The 20,258-nt window shown below is 42.9% G+C and overlaps 1 long non-coding RNA gene and 1 pseudogene across 2 annotated transcripts in view; one reads left to right on the top strand and one right to left on the bottom strand.

Annotated features, from left to right (window-relative positions):
• LOC102724135 (uncharacterized) overlaps nt 1-20,258 on the bottom strand; it is a 30,800-nt pseudogene extending 10,542 nt beyond the window's left edge. The window contains exon 1 of the transcript NR_158192.1: nt 19,974-20,258. The product of NR_158192.1 is annotated as an uncharacterized LOC102724135 (transcript). The remainder of the gene's footprint in view (nt 1-19,973) is intronic.
• LOC105370946 (uncharacterized) lies at nt 5,214-11,010 on the top strand. The gene is made up of 2 exons (XR_932551.2): nt 5,214-5,519; nt 10,725-11,010. It is a non-coding gene; the product is annotated as an uncharacterized LOC105370946 (long non-coding RNA).

The raw sequence follows: 20,258 nt of genomic DNA, 5'->3' as shown, positions 1-20,258 counted from the left end.
AAATATCACACAATAAATTGAATGCAGGTACAAATGACATATCAAACATCAAAGAAATTTGCAAAGGACGTAAGACTGTACTACCTTGGGTTTAGAAATTTTCTTATCATAAAAGCATTTATAACAATATTTTGTGAGCTTTTAAGGAATATTTTAAGTATTTCTGATTTAATTTCTAGTGATAAATACCAATAGATATAACCTACATACACAAAAGCTCCTTGGGCCCTCAATATACTTTTAAGAGTGTAAAGGAATCCTGACCCCAAAACTTTGAGAACTGCTGCCTTCCCCTCCACTTTATTCCTTCCCTAGAATTTCTTCCTTGGAAGAAACATTCCTTTGCCATTCTATGTTAACTTACATAGTTCCATTGAGGCCAGTTTTGCTACCTCTCTCCCATCTTTCCACATCCCTCTCTTGACACAAAACCTGACCAAAGGACTCTACCGGCCCACCCCATTTCCAGTGATTAGCTGTCAGGTGGGCTAAGCCAAGAAAATCTGGGTTTTCCCTGACACTAGACCTCTCTTTCTGGGAGATACGGAATCACAGGGACAAGGCTGGCCCTGTCAGAACTCATCTTGTCTAAATGGGAAGAGGTTAGGCAAGTTTCTAGAATGCCAGACTGCTTTCTAGAAAGTCAAAGATAATTATACTTTCTGCCACGACTGTGAAAATGCCCATTTCATTGCACGCTTTCTAACATTTATACCAATCTGATAAATAAAAGCTGGTACCTAGAAGAAAAAAAGGCTGGGTATGGTGGCTCATGCCTGTAATCCCAGTACTTTGGGAGACCAAGGTGAGTGGATCACCTGAGGTCAGGAGTTCGAGACAAGCCTGGCCAACATGATGAAACCCCATCTCTAGTAAAAACACAAACATTAGCCGGGCATGGTGGCAGGCCCCTGTAATCCCAACTACTCGGGAGGCTGAGGCAAGAGAATCACTTGAACCTGGGAGGTGGAGGTTTTAGTGAGCCAAGATCATGCCATTGCCCTCCAGCCTGGGTGACAAGGTGAGACTTTGTCTCAAAAAAAAAAAAAAAGTTTCCATACAATATAATTTGTTCCATCTCTAAAAACCAATTCAGCAATAACTGAAAGCCACCACTTGGAAGGTTTCAAGGATTTAGCTCTACCTGTTGATGATGTCCAAAGCATTAGTTAAGGTAGAAAAAAAATATACACACACACACACACACACACACACACTCACCCCTATGTAGTCAGTACCAGGAAACACGAAAGACTAGATGGTACAGTCATCCAACACAAAGCACACAATAACTGAAGGCACTGTAGAGGAGTAACTTATGACACAGATCTACAATATTGAGTGAAAATGCAGATTACAAAAAAAAATCTGATTTTTTAAGGGAGAGGGAACACATACAAGCAAAGGAGAAAAGAGATGAGCAGATGACTGAAAGATACAAAATTCTGATAGTGGTACATTCTGAGTGGTAGAATTATCAGTATTATTTTCTAGTTTTGCCTAAAAATTTTCTAAATTTCTTAAGAACTTTTTGTTATCCATATTATCAAATATCCATCACCCCAGGAAACTTAACCTTGAGCACAAACTCTACAACAAGTTCAATGTTTGTTCAGTTTAATATTTAAGAGACAACCTATTTTGAAAGACATCTAAAATGATGACCAATATTTAAACCTATGCATTAATATTTTTCAATCATATCCTTCACATTTTGTAATTTTGATAAGGTTAAGCTTTAGATCCATCTTGAAAAGATAAGTTTTCTGTTTGTCTTTAAAATATGACCCACAATATGCCTGTTTTTAAACAGTGAATGATGCTCTAAAATCACAATATAAATTCAGGCAGTGCTCCTTACATGGAAAGTTTAAGTACTTCTAACACTGCTCTTTTTCACTTGTTATGAAAACACAGAACAATTATCTAAGCATCTAATTATTCAGGTCCTTTGTTTCTCCTCCAATCTATTAGTTTTATAGTAATTTTAGGGCCTGTGAGGATGAAGCTGTCTGTGACAGCTACCACAAAGGTTACTATAGGTGGACAAATTTCAAACAAGTTTATCACCACTACCATCCCCACCATAAAACTGTCTCAATCAAGGGCAACACAATTCAATATTAGCCAAGACAACCTCTTTACCTGTCACTGCTTAAGAAAAGGATTTTTGGTCTTATTTAGAAATAACTTTCTGTACCTATTTTTCTCCATAAATCCACTGAGACCAATGTGTGGCTCTATCTCAAGCACCAGCAAGCAAAACTGCCTGCTAGAAGGTTCAGTTTTTGTATCTTTCCAAATGTAGAACACAGCTATCTTCAAGGATTTCATAATTTTTTGAAAATTGATGCACAAACTTCTTGAAAGTTCAGAGACACAGCAGCTGTAATTCTTCTGAAGGCTGGTTATGGGACACATTACCTTCATACTTTGCTGTTTAAGAAATGTGGGGTGGAGAATCAAGTAAACTGATAGAATTTCCATATAAAATTCTAAGTGCTCTGAGAACAAAAGAAACTTAAAATACACACACACACACACACACACACACACACACACACACACACACACACGGTTTTCCCTACTAATCATTTTACAACTAAACAACCAAGTTGCTAAACCAGAGCCCACAAAAGCAGAGTCAAAGTTCTAACACTTGGTAAAAGAAAAATGCACACATACCCCTGTGAGCTAAAAAAAAATGCTTAAGTATTCAAAGACAGCAATTACAGCTACTGAGAACATCACTGTAAGCAAACTGAGGCAGAGAAAACAAACGTGCTGATGAGGATTTGAACCACCTAAGCTGCAGAAACCCACTGGATGGTTTCCTAGGTTCCGAGTTGGCATTATCTTTCAGAACAATCTTCTAGAAGAGATCACATAACACTGTTACAAAGGATCTGGAGAAAGGGACCCTGGCTTCATCACTGTGGCTCTCCAGTCATGCTTTACATTTGGCAGTGACTATCTCCATTCAACTCAATTCCCTAACCCTAAACTAGCTGACATTTATCAAATACTGCCCTTTACCAGGTCTAAGTAAGTTTAACTCCCCCCACCCCCACCAAAAAAAATTCAAGATACTAAGGGATATACTATTCACAAAAGGGAAACCTGTCTCCTCTTCATATACCTGTTCCTTTCAAGGAAGGGTATAAAAATGGGGATGAGGGAGGATAACCACTAGGAATTTGACCCTATATTATAAATTGGTCAGATAAATGAAAATAATTCCTCTGGACTCAAAGTGATATGGCTCTGAAAACGGGAGAAACATCGGGGTCCTTTGTCTCACGCCAGTTAAACGACATGGACACACAGGAGTGGTTTTAAGGAGCAGAAAGTTTAATAGACAAGAAAGAAGAAAGGCTCCCTGCGGTACAGAAAAAGGGGGTCTGAACAGAGAAAAAGCCCCGTGTGTGGCAGAACAGTACTCGGTTATATTGGGAGGCTGGAGGAGGTGGTGTCTGATTTGCACAGGGCCCAGGGCATTGGTTTGACCAGGCAGGTCATTCATGTAGCCCGAGAAAAACGTGGCCCTCCCACCCTAGCCTTTTAATATGCAAATGTAGGTCACCATGTTGTCCTGCACACATGGGGTCATCTGGAGGTGTCACCTTGAGGTGGTGACTAGAAGAAGAGGGTGGGAATCTCCATGTTGAATGGACACAGTTTCTAAGCGCTGGCATTTGCATATCAAAGCTTGGCAGCCTGTAGTCCCAGCTACTCAGGAGGCTGAGGCAGGAGATTCACTTGAACCTGGGAGGCAGAGGCTGCAGTGAGCTGAGATCACACCACTGCACTCCAGCCTGGGTGACAGAGCGAGATTCCGTCTCCAAAAAAAAGATAAAAAGAAAAGAAAAAGAAATGTTTCTGGAGTTGTTTCTATTAAAAGGGAAAGCCTTACTGAGGCCTCCTTACCCTCTCTATCTGCCTAGTATAATTTCTGAATAACTCCTCTATTAAAAGTACCACTGAGGTGCTTAATATGACATTTCTGATATTTCCCAATGCTCCTCCACAAATTCAATTTGGAAAGGTAATCTGTTCCAGGAGGGCAAACCAAAGAAAAAGTCCTAGGCTCCTGAGTCAAGGCTTGTTTCTTTCCTTTGTACAAGCTGACTACTTTTTAATCATAGTAAAAATGAGAAAAATGCAAGATGAAGTTAACAGCATTGCTTTATTTCCCATGAAAAGCTGTTATAAAGCATTCTCAAAATAAACTGTTATTCAGCCACAAATGACACCATCACTTTTTTATTCATAGGGCACAGTATCGCTGCCAAAGAGCTTTCCTCTATATGCTCTCTTGCAGGGCAAAAAATATTATCTATGTTATACAGAAACACAGTAAAAAAAGTGATTTACTTAAGGTCCTAACTACTAAATAAAAGCTAAACTACTCACTTCCTCCTAGATTCAGAGAGAGCTCCAACATTTTCTAAAATTTGGTATCTTGTTGTTGGGGTAGGCACTTTTTGGCAATAATGAATAGACATTTAATTAGCCAATCAAAAAAACTTATTAGGTACAGTAAGTTCCTCTTCAAAGGTTTAACCTGTTCAACTTCCTTGTTCTTTGTTCCTAAGAACAATTTCCCTGTACCTTCTCACCCCTATTTACCTGCTTAGTTATCTGCTCAGTTACCTGCCTTGTAAACAACTCTTCCCATCAGTCCCAACCTGTAACTCACATTCCCTCTCCCTTCCTTATTAGGGAGAATATTCGCGATAGCAAATCAAGTCTGCTTAGATTGTGTAGTCCGACTCCAGCCCATGTGGGAATGACAGAGAGGTAGGGACTGCGTTAGGGATATAAACTCCTGCTCTATCCCGCTCGGTGTGCTCTTGCATTCGTGACTAATGCAAACAGCACTCTTTTGCAGAAGTAAGTTGTCTTGCTGAGAAAACTTTTTTTCCTGAGTGCTGGTTCTTCCTTGCAGCACTGATCATTTGTTTCTTTTTTCTTTCTTTTTTTTTTTTTTTTTTGAGACAGAGTTTCGCTCTGTTGCCCAGGGTGGAGCACAGTGGCTTGATCTCAGCTCACTGCAAGCTCCACCTCCCAGGTTCACGCCATTCTCCTGCCTCAGCCTCCTGAGTAGCTGGGACTACAGGCACCCACCACTGCGCCCAGCTAATTTTTTTGTATTTTTTTTTTTTTAGTAGAGACGGCATTTCACCATGTTAGCCAGGATGGTCTCGATCTCCTGACTTCATGATCCGCCCACCTCGGCCTCCCAAAGTGCTGGGATTACAGGGGCGAGCCACTGCGCCCAGCCTGATCATTTGTTTCTAACAATCTGGGGGCTCGTCCGGAATTCCCATTCTCCTCTGAGAAAAGGGTCTCCAGTCACCAATAGTGAGGAGAAGCATCCCACTGCCTCATTGAGGTGGCCTCATGGTGAGGGATCAGGACCCACCCAGTGTGATGAATAAACCCGGACTCTCAGCAGTCTGGAAAGGAACAGACCAACAACTTAAGAGAAAAGGATCCTCACATACCATGGTGACCAGGTAACTATGTGCACAGACCAACGTAAGAAACATCACAAGAGCGACAAAGTATTTTCTTGGTGGTTGGGATATCTTGGAGATTGAAAGTGTGTGTTGAGACTCACAATTGAGTGCAAAGCAAGTGTTCAGTCCAGATCTGCAGTTCTGTGGTCACCTTATACAGCTTAAGGTAGCCCTTCTGTAAAGGAGTCTGGGTCAGGGGTTTCTACTGAAACAGCCATTGCTAAGAGGAAACCAACGTTCCCGTGAGGGAAGCAGCCAGAGAAGGATGAAGCGAAAGGAGAAAAGTGCAAGAAACCTCCAGCAGGGGGGTTGAGCCTCTAGGAAAGGAAAGGAAAGGAAAGGAAAGGAAAGGTGAGAAATCTCCAGTAGGAGAGGTTGAGCCTTATACAAACCTCTCGTAACTGGGAAGAAATTTCTAGTAGGGGAAATTGAGCCTCACCCCAATCCCTTTTCAAGATGGGAAATACCTCAAGTAATGCAGGGGAGAAAAAGGATAAAGCTAGCAACAATAACATTCCTCCTGATAGTCCCCTAGGGCTTATGCTAAAATATTGGAAAGAGAGTGAAAGGACTAAATACAAGAAAAAGCAGCAAATGATAAAATATTGTTGTTTCATTTGGACTCAGGAATCAATCCTGAAAAGCAAGTCAGAAATTAACTCCTCTGAGAAAGATAAGGTCCCTGTTCCTAGACAGCTCACCAACACATGGAACTTCCTCCACCACCTTCCCCCGTCCAATACCCCTAACCTCCCTCCCCCTCAAGCAGAGGCAGTTGTCCCAGACCCTTCTCCTACCCACATTGTTCCCCCTCTTTATAACCCTGCCTCTTGGGAATTGTCCCAACAGCCTGCTCACTATCACCCTAAGTACTCTTCCCTGAAAGGACTTCAATGTGAGATAGAGCAATGTAAAAGGGATATTCAGAACTTCCCCTTCCCCTCTACCTCGGGAGAATTAGCTCCACCTCTCTTCCCCTGAAGAGAGGTGTCCCTACGAGGAGGAGGTATTCACTTTGTAAATGCTCCTTTAACCAGCTCGGAGGTCCAAAACCTAAAAACAGAGTTCAAGCCACACTATTAGACAACTCCAGTGGAATAGCAGATCGAATTAACCAATTTCTAGGACCACAGTTATATATACTTGGGCTGAGTTAATGTCCATCCTAGGCATCCTTTTCTCAGGGGAAGAAAGAAGCATCATCTGTAGAGCTGCTATGGTAGCCTGGGAACATGAACACCCTCCTGGCCAAAACATTCATGCAGCGGATCAAAAATTCCCCAACCAAGACCCCTGCTGGGACAATAATAACGCAGCCCACTGAAGAGGATACGCAAGAACTTAGGGAAATGATAATAAAAGGGATTCGGGAGTCAGTACTCCGAACCCAAAATCTTACTCGAGCATTCGACATACAACAAAGGAAAGATGAAGGGCCTATCGAACTTTTAGACAGGTTGAAAGAACAAATGAGAAAATATGCTGGCCTAGATTTAGAAGATCCTCTTAGGCAGTGAATGTTAAAGCTTCATTTTGTTACTAACAGCCAGATATCACAAGGAAATTACAAAAGATAGGAAATTGGAAGGACCATCCCACGAACGAGCTTCTTAGAGAAGCTCAGAAAGTGTGTGTAAGGAGGGATGAGGAGAAGCAAAAAGAAAAAATGAAAATTATGTTATCCACCTTCCAACAGGGGGCCCCAAAGGATAAAACACACCAGTATTACTCTCTGTTACCCAGAGACCCACACACTCCCAAACAAAGCCTCCCGAGAGCCAAAACCTATAAAGATCCTAGGCCCCCACTTCCTAAGCCATATAAAGAACATAAGGAGGCAAAGCCGAGAAACCCAAAAATAGAGAGAAGAGACAGAATCAATGCTTCAATTGTGAGAAAGTAGGCCACTTCAAGAGGTATTGTCCCAAATTAAAATCAGAAAGAGAAGTCGTCCCACTTACGACCTTTGAGGAGGAATAGGGGGGTTAGGGGCTCTGTCTCTTTTACCTTGAATCCCACCAAGAGCCCTTGATAAATTTAGAAGTGGAACCCAAATCTGAGCTTATGACCTTTTTAGTAGACTCAGGAGCAGCCTGCTCCTCTGTTTGTTACCTTCCCCCACAATATAACCTGGTCCTCAGAGGAGCTTGTAGTCTCAGGGGTAAAAGGAGAGGGAATCAAACTAAAAATTTTAAAAGAAACAGAAATTAGATGTAAAAACTGCTCAGCTAATGTTGAATTTTTGTTAATTTCAGAGGCAGGAACTAATCTATTAGGAAGAAACTTAATGTTAAAATTAGGTATAGGTTTACGTATTGGCTCAGAAGGATTCTACACTTCATTAAACCTGCTCACCACTGCAGAAGAAACATACATTCATCCTGATGTTTGGGCAAGGGAAGGAAATTGGGGAAAACTCCAAATTCCCCCTATACATATAAAGTTAAAAACCCCTGGAGAAATAGTAAGAAGAAAGCAATATCCTATTCCTTTAGAAGGCAGAATAGGCCTGAAACCTGTAATTGAAAGCCTCATCAAGGATGGGCTCCTTGAACCCTGTATGTCCCCTTATAACACCCCAATACTGCCTGTGAAGAAACCAGATAGGTCATGTCGACTAGCATAAGACCTCTGGGCCATCAACCAGACAGTCTAGACTACCCATCCTGTTGTCCCTAATCCTTAAACCATTCTCAGTAAAATTCCATATGAACATCAATGGTTTACAGTAATAGGTTTAAAAGATGCCTTTTGAGCATGCTCCTTGGATGAGGACAGCTGAGACATTTTTGCTTTCGAATGGGAAGATCCCCATTCTGGATGACAGCAACAGTATCGATAGACAGCTCTACCCCCGGGCTTCACAGATTCCCCTAATCTCTTTGGTCAAATTCTAGAACAAGTGTTAGAACAAGTTTATACCCCAAAATGTATATGTCTGCTCCAGTACGTAGATGACTTATTAATATCCGGTTAGGCTATAGAAAAGGTATCTGCTTTCTCCATCCATATCCTTAACCATTTGTAAGGAGAGGGGCTATGGGTTTCAAAGAGAAAGCTTCAATTCATAGAGCCTGAAGTTAAATACCTAGGACACTTAATAAGTAACGGCAAACGAAGGATAGGGCCTGAGAGGGTTGAAGGGATTGTATCCATACCTTTGCCTAAGACTAAACAAGAACTCAGAAAATTCCTAGGGATAGCCGGATATTGCCGCTTATGGATTGACTCATATGCCCTTGTCATAAAGCCTCTCTACCTAAAAATCACCCAAGAAAAGCCTGACCCTCTCCTCTGGACTTCTGAAGAACTCCACCAGGTTGAGGAGCTAAAACATCTGCTTATAACTGCCTCTGTTTTAGCTTTGCCTTCCCTAGAAAAGCCATTTCACCTTTCTGTTAACATAAATAAGGGGGTAGCTTTAGGGGTCCTTACCCAAGAACACGGAGGTCACCAGCAACCCATGGATCTCCTATCAAAAGTTTTAGATCCAGTAACCTGTGGATGGCCTGAATGTTTCAATCCATTGCAGCTACCGCCTTGTTAACTAAAGAAAGCAGAAAACTAACCTTTGGGGGAAAGTTAGTTGTAAACATGCCCCATCAGGTTAGAGCCATCTTAAATTAAAAGGCAGGAAGGTGGCTTACTGACTTGAGAATTTTAAAGTATGAAGCTATCCTGTTAGAAAGAGATGATTTAACACTAACCACTGATAATTCACTTAACCCAGAGGTTTCCTGACTGGAGATTCAAATCTAAAGAGACCTGAGCATGAGTGTTTAGATTTAATGATCATACAAAAGTTAGGCCTGATTTAAGAGAGACCCCTTACAAAACGGGGCAGGGCTTCTTTATAGATGGCTCTTCCCAAGTAATTGAAGGAAAAAGGCGTAATAGGTACTCAGTAGTAGATGGGGAGGCACTTGAAGAAGTAGAGTCAGGAAGCCTGCCAAATAATTGGTCTGCCCAAACATGTGAATGAATTGTTTGCATTAAATCAAGCCTTAAAGCACTTGCAAAACCAAGAACGGACTATTTATACTGATTCCAAGTATGCCTTTGGGGCAGCTCACACCTTTGGAAAAATTTGGACTGAACGAGATCTTATTAATAGCAAAGGCCAAGACCTGGGCCACAAAGAATTAATCACCCAAGTATTAGATAACCTGCAGCTGCCAGAATAGCTATTGTCCATGTTCCAGGACATCAGAAAGGTCTTTCTTTTCAAAGCGGAAGGAATAACCTAGCAGATCAAATAGCCAAACACACTGCCGTTTCCTCTGAAAATGCCTGTTTTTCACTTAGCCCCTTGCCTTCCTCCCTCGACTGCAGTCCCCATCTTTTCTCCCGCTGAAAAGGAAAAATTAATAAAAATAGGAGCCAAAGAAAATTCAGAAGGGAAATGGGTGTCACCAGACCAAAGAGAAATGTTATCCAAACCCCTCATGAGGGAAATCCTCTTTCATCTGCATCAAGGGACTCATTAGGGACCTCAAGCTAAGTGTGATGCAGTCCTCGGGGTCTACAGATGTATAGGAATTTACATTTTGGCAAGACAAGTTACAGATAGTTGCCTAGTATGTAAGAAGACTAATAAGCAGATCCTCAGAAAACCACCTGTTGGAGGGAGAAATCCAGGATTAAGGCTGTTCCAAATTGTCCAAATTGATTATGCCGAAATGCCCCCAATTGGTCACTTAAAATATTTATTAGTGATAGATCACCTTACTCATTGGGTAGAAGCTATTCCCTTTTCAAGTGCAACTGCTAGTAATGTACTCAAGGCATTAGTTGAAAATATTATACCCAGGTTTGGATTAATAGAAAATGCTGATTCAGACAACAGGACTCATTTCACTGCACATGTTCTTAAGAAACTAGCCCAAGTACTAGATATAACATGGGACTACCATAACCCCTGGCACCCACCTTCATCAGGAAGAGTAGAAAGAATGAATCAGACTCTGAAAAACCACCTAACCAAATTAGTCCTAGAGACTCGGTTGCCATGGACTAAATGCCTCCCCATGGTCTTGTGAAGATTCCAAACTGCCCCTAGGAAAGATGTCGGCTCACCTCCTTATGAAATGCTGTATGAGTTGCCTTATCTACACTCCACTGCTGACATTCCTCGTTCGAAACAAAAGATCTGTTTCTCAAGAACTATATACTTGGTCTATCCTCCACTTTCTCTTTCCTTAGGACTAAAGGCCTCTTGGCACATACACCACCCCTTGAATTTCCAGTTCACCACCACCAGCCCGGACAGTGACCACATTCTCATCAAAGGTCAGAAAGAAAGGAAGCTCAAGCCCACCTGGGAGGGACATTATCTAGTGTTTCTAATGACTGAGACAGCCGTCCACACCACTGAAAAAGAATGGACTCACCATACCTGAGTCAAAAGAGCACCACCCACTCCAGAATCATGGACAGCTATTTCAGGGCCAATTCCAACCAAGTTAAAGCTAAAACGGGTTTGATCCTCTTATGCTATATTTCTTTTCCCCTTCTATTGCTAGTCCTCTCGTTATTAATGTAACTAGGTCGAGCTCACCCCAAACTATTACCTTTGATGCTTGCCTTGTTATATCCTGTGGAGCTCTCCAAAGTCAAAAGCAACTCTCAGCCTCAGAGAAGTATCTCCGTCCCTTTCAGACAAAAGCCTCCCCCATTACGACTCTTGTTCCTTAAGAAATGTAGGGAAACAGGCCTGCCACAGCTGGAATGATATTATGTGGACAACTGAACATCAGGGCTTTGTCAACAGGCAGTTGTAAGTCTCTAAAACCATGTTTGCTTTGTTAAAGGAAACATTCCCCACCCCCTGACTGCCAGTATAACCAATGTAATCCAGTGCAAATTTCTATTCTTATCCCCACTTCTGCCAACCCTAAACCTACTTTAAGTCGCTTATACGGCATAGGAGCCAAAATAGCAGGGACACATCTTATAGAATCCTTTGAAATGCATTTCATTACTTTCTCACCTCCTCCACCTCCTTCTACACTCTCTCTCAACGAAACCGCTGTTCTTCCTTCAACCAAGGATAAAATCAAGGTAAGCCATTGTAGAAGTTAAAAATTTGAAACAAACCATAGCAACTGAGACAGGGTACCAAGATGCAAATGCTTGGTTAGAATGGATTAAATATTCTGTCCGCACTCTAAACAAAAGCAACTGTTACACTTGTGCGCACAGTAGGCCAGAGGCCCAGGTTGTCCCCTTTCCACTCGGATGGTCTTCCAGCCAACTGGGCATGAGCTGTATGGTAGCTCTTCTCCAAGACCCCACAGCCTGGGGTAATGAATCTTGCCAAGCTCTCTCTCTGCTATTCCCTAAAGTCCAACACCCTGCAGGTCAGTCCCTGAGGGCCATCCAGCCTCCATCTATTGACACCAATTTTTACCTCGGGTCTCTCACAACAAGGGGAAAACTTGGCATTTCATGAAGACCTAAAGGGATGCGGTGAACTTAAACTCTCCCAAGAGCTTACCAGTCAGTCTGCCCTTGTTCATCCTCGAGCATACGTATGGTGGTATTGTGGTGGACCCTTACTGGACACTCTGCCAAGTAACTGGAGTGGTACTTGTGCTCTAGTCCAACTGGCCATCCCTTTCACCCTAGCATTCCATTAACATAATAGAAGAGAAAATCAGAAGAGAAGAAGTGACCTTCATGGGTCCTTTGACTCCCACGTTTATAAAGATGCTACTGGAGTTCCACGAGGGGTACCAGATAAATTTAAGGCCCGAAATCAAACAGCTTCAGGATTTGAATCTGTGCTGTTTTGGTGGTCAACTGTAAATAAAAATGTAGATCGGATAAACTACATTTATTACAACCAACAAAGGTTTGTTAACTACACAAGACATGCCATTAAGGGAACAGCCTCCCAATTAGGTCCCATTAACTAAATAGTCTGGGAAAACAGGATAGCCCTAGATACGATGCTAGCAGAAAAAGGTGGTGTCTGTGTCATGATTGGAGTCCAATGATGTACTTTTATTCCTAATAACACAGCCCCTGACGGAACAGTAACAAAAGCTTTGCAGGACCTAACCTCCTTATCCAATGAGTTAGCAAGCAATTCTGGAATAAATGATCCCTTTACAAGTTTAATGGAGAAATGGTCTGGAAAATGGAAAGGCTTAATGTCCTCAATATTTACTTCTCTTGCAATCGTTATAGGTGTGCTTATTCTTGTTGGATGCTGTATCATACCATACATTTGTGGACTACTGCAAAGACTCATAGACACAGAACTTACCAAAACCTCTCTTAGCTCTCCTCCACCCTATTCAGATAAGCTTTTCCTTCTAGAAAACCAAGCAGAACAGCAAAGCAAAGACATGCTAAAAAAGTTTGAAGAGGAAGAATTACAAAAATTAAGAGGGGGGAATTGTTAGGTACAGTAAGTTCCTCTTCAAAGGTTTAACTTGTTCAACTTCCTTGTTCTCTGTTCCTAAGAACAATTTCCCTGTACCTTCTCGACCCTACTTACCAGCTTAGTTACCTGCTTAGTAACCTGCCTTGTAAACAACTCTTCCTACCAGCCCCAATCTGTAACTCACATTCCCCCTCCCTTTCTTATTAGAGAAAATATTCACAATATCCAGCTGAGTCAGCTAAGATTGTGCAGTCCTACCCCAGCCCATGTTGGAATGACACAGAGGTAGGGAGTGCATTAGGGATAAGAACCCCTGCTCCACCCCGTTTGGTGTGCTCTTGCAATCATGACTAATGCAAGCAGCATACTTGCAGAAGCAAATTGTCTTGCTGAGAAAACTTTTTTGCCTGAGTGCTGCTTCTTCCTCACAGCACCAATCATTTGTTTCTAACAATCTCGCTAAAAGCAGCCTAGAAAGCAGCCACTTATGCAGAAAGAGTAATAATTTATGCTCTACAAGTCATATAAAAAATGAAGTTTCATTTGTTTACCGGCTAATTTACTTCCTGGGAGACATTTTTCATTCTAAAACAGTGATTCCCTACCAAGAGTTCATAGATGCCAAGAAGTCCATAAAAGGCGTAATGGAATTGCCAAATTATGTTAAATACTTCAAAAGGACTCAAAGCCATATACTAGTTCCCAATAGGCCTGCACAAGTTATTAGAACAAGCTGCTTTGCATTCTTGTGTGATCAGAACCAGTAACTAGATGGCAATCAGGTCTGTTACTGAAGATGGAAAAACTATACTTAAGTTTGTATAACAATCTTTCATAACATGGCTTCACAGAAAAGAAGTATAAAAAGGATTCCTTGGTTGAAAAAGAGTGCTCTTTTCCCTTCATTATTTAAGATTAGGACAAATTTATAAAACAGGAAAAAAATAGCACAAATCCCTTGGCAAACAGAGTAAAACATCTACTCTGTTTTGCTTTTTTTCACTTCTTACACTCTCTTTCATAGGAAGTCAATTTACAGACTTCCATCAAGCCCTTAGAGACCTTTTTGTACTATCCATGACAAGCTCTTGATGTTATCTCTGCACTTTTGACAAATTCTTAGCAGTTAACTTACAAGGCAGTTAAGATTTTTGTTCAAGCACAATATAGCTAGAATAGGCTCATACATTCAATAAAACAAATATTTACCAAGCATTTATTGAGTGGAAGATAAAAAGCACAAAGCATAATTATAAAATATTTTCCCCTGCCACCATAAAAAAATTAAACAGGCTTACAGAATACAGTGTAAGAAAACATGACCAAAGCAAAAATAGTAAGGACTAAAGAAGGGAGGAAGGGGAAATATCAACATGGACTGAATATGACCCAAAAGAGCCTTGATGGATGGTCAGACATGTAAAGGCAAATTGGTTAGGGTTAAGGGGTGGAGGTCAGGGCACGTTCTATAGGGAAACGGCAGCTGATACAGAAGCCTGAAAGGAAAAGCGGGCAGAGCACCTGGACAGGACTCTTCAGGAACGAGCACGCACGTGCGTGAAAAACAACTTAGTGAGGTACCGTTCACCCAAACATTAGAGAAACCGCGTAAAAATGCTTCTTGGTAAGCATGAAGAAGGCAGGGCTCGCCCTGTAGAAGAACTCAATAAACATTTGAACTGTCTAAAGAGTAAAAGTTAATGAATAGGCCAAACTCACTCCTTTCTTTGTTTTAAGAGCTACAACTTTAGAGAATAACAAATCACAAACCCAGTAGACAGGTCCTGGCATTTCAAATCCAACCCCATTTTTCCCTTAATCTTTCCCCTCTGAGCAAATGGTATCGACATGAACAAGCCATGTTGATTTGATCAAGACACTCATCCATGGTTAAAAGAGTCTTTACTTTCAAGAGATACAAACAGAAATATTTACATGGGCTAATTTACTGGGCAACAAGAGAGAAACTCCGTCTCAAAAAAAAAAAAGGAAATAAAAGCATACAAAGTGAAAACAAAGAAATTAAACTGCCCTTATTTGCCAGTGACATTACTGTCTATGCACAAAATTCCAAAAATCTACAAAAAAGCTTCTAGTACTAAAAATGAGTTTAGCAAGGTTGTAGAATCCAAGGTCAGCATATAACATAAAATCACCTTCCTATATACTAGCAATCACCAACTGGAAATTGAGAAGTATCATTCACAACAGTACCACAAACATGAAATAAATGTGTAAGATTACAAAATACAAGCAAGATCCAACTGCTAAAAACTACAAAACACTGACAAAAAATCTAAGAAGGTCTAAATAAATAGATATACCATGTTCATGGCTCATTATTAAAATGTCAGTTGCCTCCTAACTGATTTCCAGTTTCAATGCAATGTCAATCAAAAACCCCAGCAGGCTCTCACGCCTGTAAGCCCTACACTTTGGGAGACCATGGTGGGAGGATTGCTTCATCCCGGGAGTTTGAGACCAGGCTGGGCAACATAGAGAGACCCTGTCTCTACAAAAATAAAAAAATTAGCCAGGCATGGCGGTGCATGCATGTGATCCCAGCTACTTGGGAGGCTGAGGTGGGATAATCGCTTGGTTCAAGGCTGCAGTGAGCAGTGATCCTGCCACTGCGTTTCAGCCTGGGCAACTGAGTGGGACACTTTTTTTTTTTTTTTTGAGACAAGGTCTCGCTCTGTCGACCAGGCTGGAGTGAAGTGGTGCAATCTCGGCTCACTGCAACCTCCATCTCCTGGGTTCAAGTGATTCTCCTGCCTCAGCCTCCCAAGTAGCTGGGATTACAGGTGCCCGCCACCATGCCCAGCTAATTTTTCTGTTTTTAGTAGAAACGGGGTTTCACCATGTTGGCCAGGCTGGTCTTGAACTCCTGAACTCAAGTGATCCACCCGCCTCGGCCTCCCAAAGTGCTGGGATTACAGGCATGAGCCACCGCACCAGGCCATGAAACACTTTCTTCCACCCACGGCTTTCTCTTCTCTCCCCATTTACAGCAATAAGACAGCCTAACCTGGGAAAGAGAGAGAGAGGGAAGCTACTTCCAAATGGATGCCTGTCCCCATCAGTAATAACCAAGTCTATTCAAGTGCTAGATGTTAACTTTAAAAGAAGGAAACATCAAAAGTCCAAGTTTCAGCCGGGTGCAGTGGCTCATGCCTGTAATCCCAGCACTTTAGGAGGCTGAGGTGGGTGGATCACGAGGTCAGGAGTTCAAGACCAGCCTGGTCAATATGGTGAAACCCCGTCTCTACTAAAAATACAAAAATTAGTCAGGCATGGTGGCGTGTGCCTGTAGTCCCAGCTACTCGGGAGAGGCAGAAGATTCGCTTCAACCGGGGAAGCAGAGGTTGCAGTGAGCCAAGATCGTGCTACTGCACTCCAGCCTGGGTGACAGAGCGAGACTCCGTCTCAAAAAAAAAAAAAAAGTCCAAGTGTCTTCGCCTAGCTTTGTCAGGAATGTTTTTACCCTCAGTCTGTAAGTGTGACCAAATATATTTTTTAAAGGTTTACCCTCTCAATCTGTTAAGTTCAAAGGTTAACTATAATCTCTTCATAAGAAAACTATTGGAAAGATGGAATAAAATACACAGAAATGTCCTTAACAGGTAAATATTTATTTTTCTTTCTTATTATTATACTTTAAGTTCTGGGGTATATGTGCAGAACGTGCAGGTTTGTTGCATAGGTACACACGTGCCATGGTGGTTTGCTGCACCCATCAACTCGTCATCTACACTAGGTATTTCTCCTAATGCTATCCCTCCCCTAGCCCCCCAACCCCCAACAGGCCCCAGTGTGTGATGTTCCCCACTCCCTGTGTCCATGTGTTCTCACTGTTCAACTCCCACTACAGGTAAATATTTCTAGAATGTATCTACTCCATCAGCTAGTGTAAGTATTCTAAACTGTGCTAGTATAGCTGCTTTAAATCACTGCTTTCTTCTGCAAATGGTGGCACCTTTAAAGTGTTATCTTGAAGGGGAAGTGAGTGATTTGCTCATGTCTCTGCTGAACTAACACTGTTAACACCCAGTCCAGTTCTACCTTAAACAAGTCTGAGAAATACAGACATAATCCATACTTGTTATTTGTCAAGACTAAGGTAAAATAAGGAAAGTTGGAACTCACTCATATCCTCTTATGACTGATGTACTGAAAACAATCCATCTCTCACCATTTCCTAAATAGCATAGTCACAAAGAGCTCTACCCTACCAAGTACTCTGCAAGTCCCACTCTCAAAGGAAGACTCACAGGTGACTGAGAAGATAAATTTGCTATTGTTTCCATTATCCTTCAGTTCATCTGACACCTTTGAAGAAACGCATTTGGATAAGACTCACAAGTCTCAGGGCCCCTTCTTTATGAAAGAAATAGCTAAGCCTCCATACTCAGAAGCATCAGACTTTTCAGAATGCTTAAGTCATGTAAAAACGTATCAAAATTATTATCATTACAGCTACCAGGAAATAGCTACCTACTCCATGTTAGATACTGCAGTTAAGTATCTCACACAGTTTCACTGATTCCTAACAACACTGCAAAGCATGTTACTAACCCTTAAGGAGTAGGAAGCTGAAGCTCTGAGAGGCTATGCAACTACTCAATGGAAATGTGGGGATCTGAACTCTACCTAGCTCCAAAGGGCGTACTTTTTTCTAAAATTTCTAATTTTTTTCCAATTTCACAATGGAGGCAGAGTTTTCACTACAATTTTAATAATTTCACCAGCTGGGTGGGGTGGCTCACGCCTGTAATTCCAGTACTGTGGGAGGCTGAGGTGGGAGGACGGCTTGGGTCCCAGGAAGACAACTGGGCAACAGTGAAGATTCTGACTCTAAAAAAAATAAGAATTTCACCAAAAGGGGGAACAGATTTCTAAATCGGAATCTCTTGTTAAAATCCTTAGAGCACTAGTTAAGCCCCACTTCTTTTCAAAAAATAACCGACAGATTAAAAAAAAGGTTAGAAGTCCTTTTAAAGTAAATTTCATCAGAGATCTGCAAGTGAATTGTCATTTTGGACAAGTCCCCAGAGTTGGTGGCCCTCTCCTGTGTACACCAGCTACCACTAGGCAGTAAAAGTAATTTACCCAATTCAAACACATACCGTGCCTGCACTATGTTAAAACCACTGGCAAAGAGGGTACAAAGTTAAATAAGGTCTATCACAGCCCTCAAGGAGTTAAAGGACTAGAGGAGGAGTCCATTTATAGTATAGTATGTGTGCAGTTACCATTTAGTCAAGGCAAACGAACTGTGAGAAATCCTACAACAATAGTACCTACAGTATAACATGCCATCACCGCCCACAGAAGGAAAGCAACTGGTGCCCTCGTCACGTTATGTTGTTAGTACTTGCTTACATGATGTCCCTCCCTGACAATCCCTTCCAACCTCTGTCAGCCTCCTTCCCCACAATCACACACACACACAAAACCACACTGCCAGGAAGGGAAGCCATTGAGTGAGTATTGTGAATCCTACAAGTGGCTCTGTAGTTTAAAAGGGCAATGCCTGTGCCTGAAGAAAATTTGTCTTTAGCTTCATCAGGTGAAGAAAATTGGTTTTATAACACAAGGCCCACCAAACCAGAAAAGCCCAGGAACGCTTCTCCAAAGGACTCACTTAGCACGAGAAATCACTCAGAGCAAACTGACGCACACAGTATTTGTCAAATTTTTCTTTTTCATTTAGCAGAAGGTAAGGTAAAGGACTACAACTGAAGTTAATAAATGACACTCTAGCCATTTTGATCATTTGTCACTATAAATGATAGACATTTAAGCTAGTTCCATCTGGGGAAGTGAAACAGAATCATGTTCATATAATAAGCCAGACGAACCAAATTCAGTGGAATACGTGCACCCAAAACTGGACCAGACTTGTACTTAATGCAGCCTGCAAATCCCCAAGAGTCCACGACAGAATACAAGAACAGTAACACTGGTTTATCTCAACTCATCTTAGCTCCCTCACAAACTTGCCAATAATGACCTTTCAAGAACTGCACCGTTGGTCCTCATCTGGGCAATCCCGTGGCTTAGAAAAACTGAATAAAGTGCTTCTTCGAAAAATAAAACAATGCGGGGAGGGGGGAGTAGTAACAAAAAAAAAGGCACACTGGTTTTTACTGTACTGAAGCAATAAATTCTCCAACGAACTTCATTAATGAGTATCAGCAAAGAATGAACACCAAAATACCGCTCAATCCAACTTTCATCGTGAATTCTTGAATTCACAGTAGGATCATTAAATGTGACGGTATCACTCTGCTATAAAAACTATTTCCAAAACAAAACAAACCTATCTACCCCCTTTCTTGATTTAAAAAAAAAAAAAAAAGAAGAAAGAAGGAAAATTTGAGGGTTTTTGCTTTTTTCAACTTCACATACCGGTTTGCCTTTGCAAAAAAAAAAAAAAAAAATGTTTAGTCTCAAAGTATAGCTGCAAGGTGGACCGGCTGCACGGGTCCCAGAGGGCCGCTCGCCTCCGACGGTCGCAGTTTCAGCCGGGCCGCGCCCGCGAGAAACAGCGGAGAGGCCCCAGCAGGCGGGCGCCGCCGGACAGGTTTACCGTCCGCGTCGGCCCCGGGGAACCGCTCCCTCGCGCCCGCAGCACTTGTTCGCGGCGCGGACTCCACACCGCGGCCGCCCGCCCCAGGGGAGGAGTGAGTCCGCCCCAGCGGCGCCAACCCGGGGACCCGGGGCAAGGGTTCGGGGCCATCCGCCGCCGGGCGCGCCCCCCATCCGGAAAGCGGCGACGGCCCCCAAGTTGGGCTGCGGAGTGGGAGGCGCGCCGAGCCCCAAGCAGACAATGCGGGAGAAGGGTGATGCGCAGGGAGGAGGGGTCCGCAAAGCTGAGGTCCCCGCGCCGCCCGGCTACCCATCCGTGCCGCCCGCCCCTGAAGCCCCGCGCAGCCCCCGACCCTCCTCTGGGGCCCGCCCCACCGAGCGGCCGCAGGGGACGGGCCGCGCTCCGCACCCCGACCCCTCCTCAAATCACAAAACTTCCCCCAACTCCGCCAACTAAGTTGCGCTCTCACCGTGCGGCTCCCGGGGCTCCCCCGCGGGCCGAGCCGAGACAGCTCCTCACCTTCGCCGCGGAGAAAGACAATAGGCTGCCTCTCCCCCGGCGGCGGCAGCAGCGGCTGCGGCTAAAGCGGCGGCAACCGAGGCGAGCAATGGGCACGGCGGTCTCGGCCGAGCCGAGGGGCTTCACCGCTGCTGTTCCGGCTCCGCGACAGCTCTGCACGTAGCCCCAGCCACCCCGCGCACCGGCTACAAGCCGCCCGGGGGTGGCCGGGGCACGCAAGAGGGCAGTAACGTCT

Source organism: Homo sapiens, chromosome 15 (assembly GCF_000001405.40).
Source record: "Homo sapiens chromosome 15, GRCh38.p14 Primary Assembly".
Classification (NCBI taxonomy): Eukaryota; Metazoa; Chordata; class Mammalia; order Primates; family Hominidae; genus Homo; species Homo sapiens.
The sequence above is the reverse complement of the archived record's forward strand: the minus strand, read 5'-3'. Positions and strand labels throughout refer to the sequence as shown.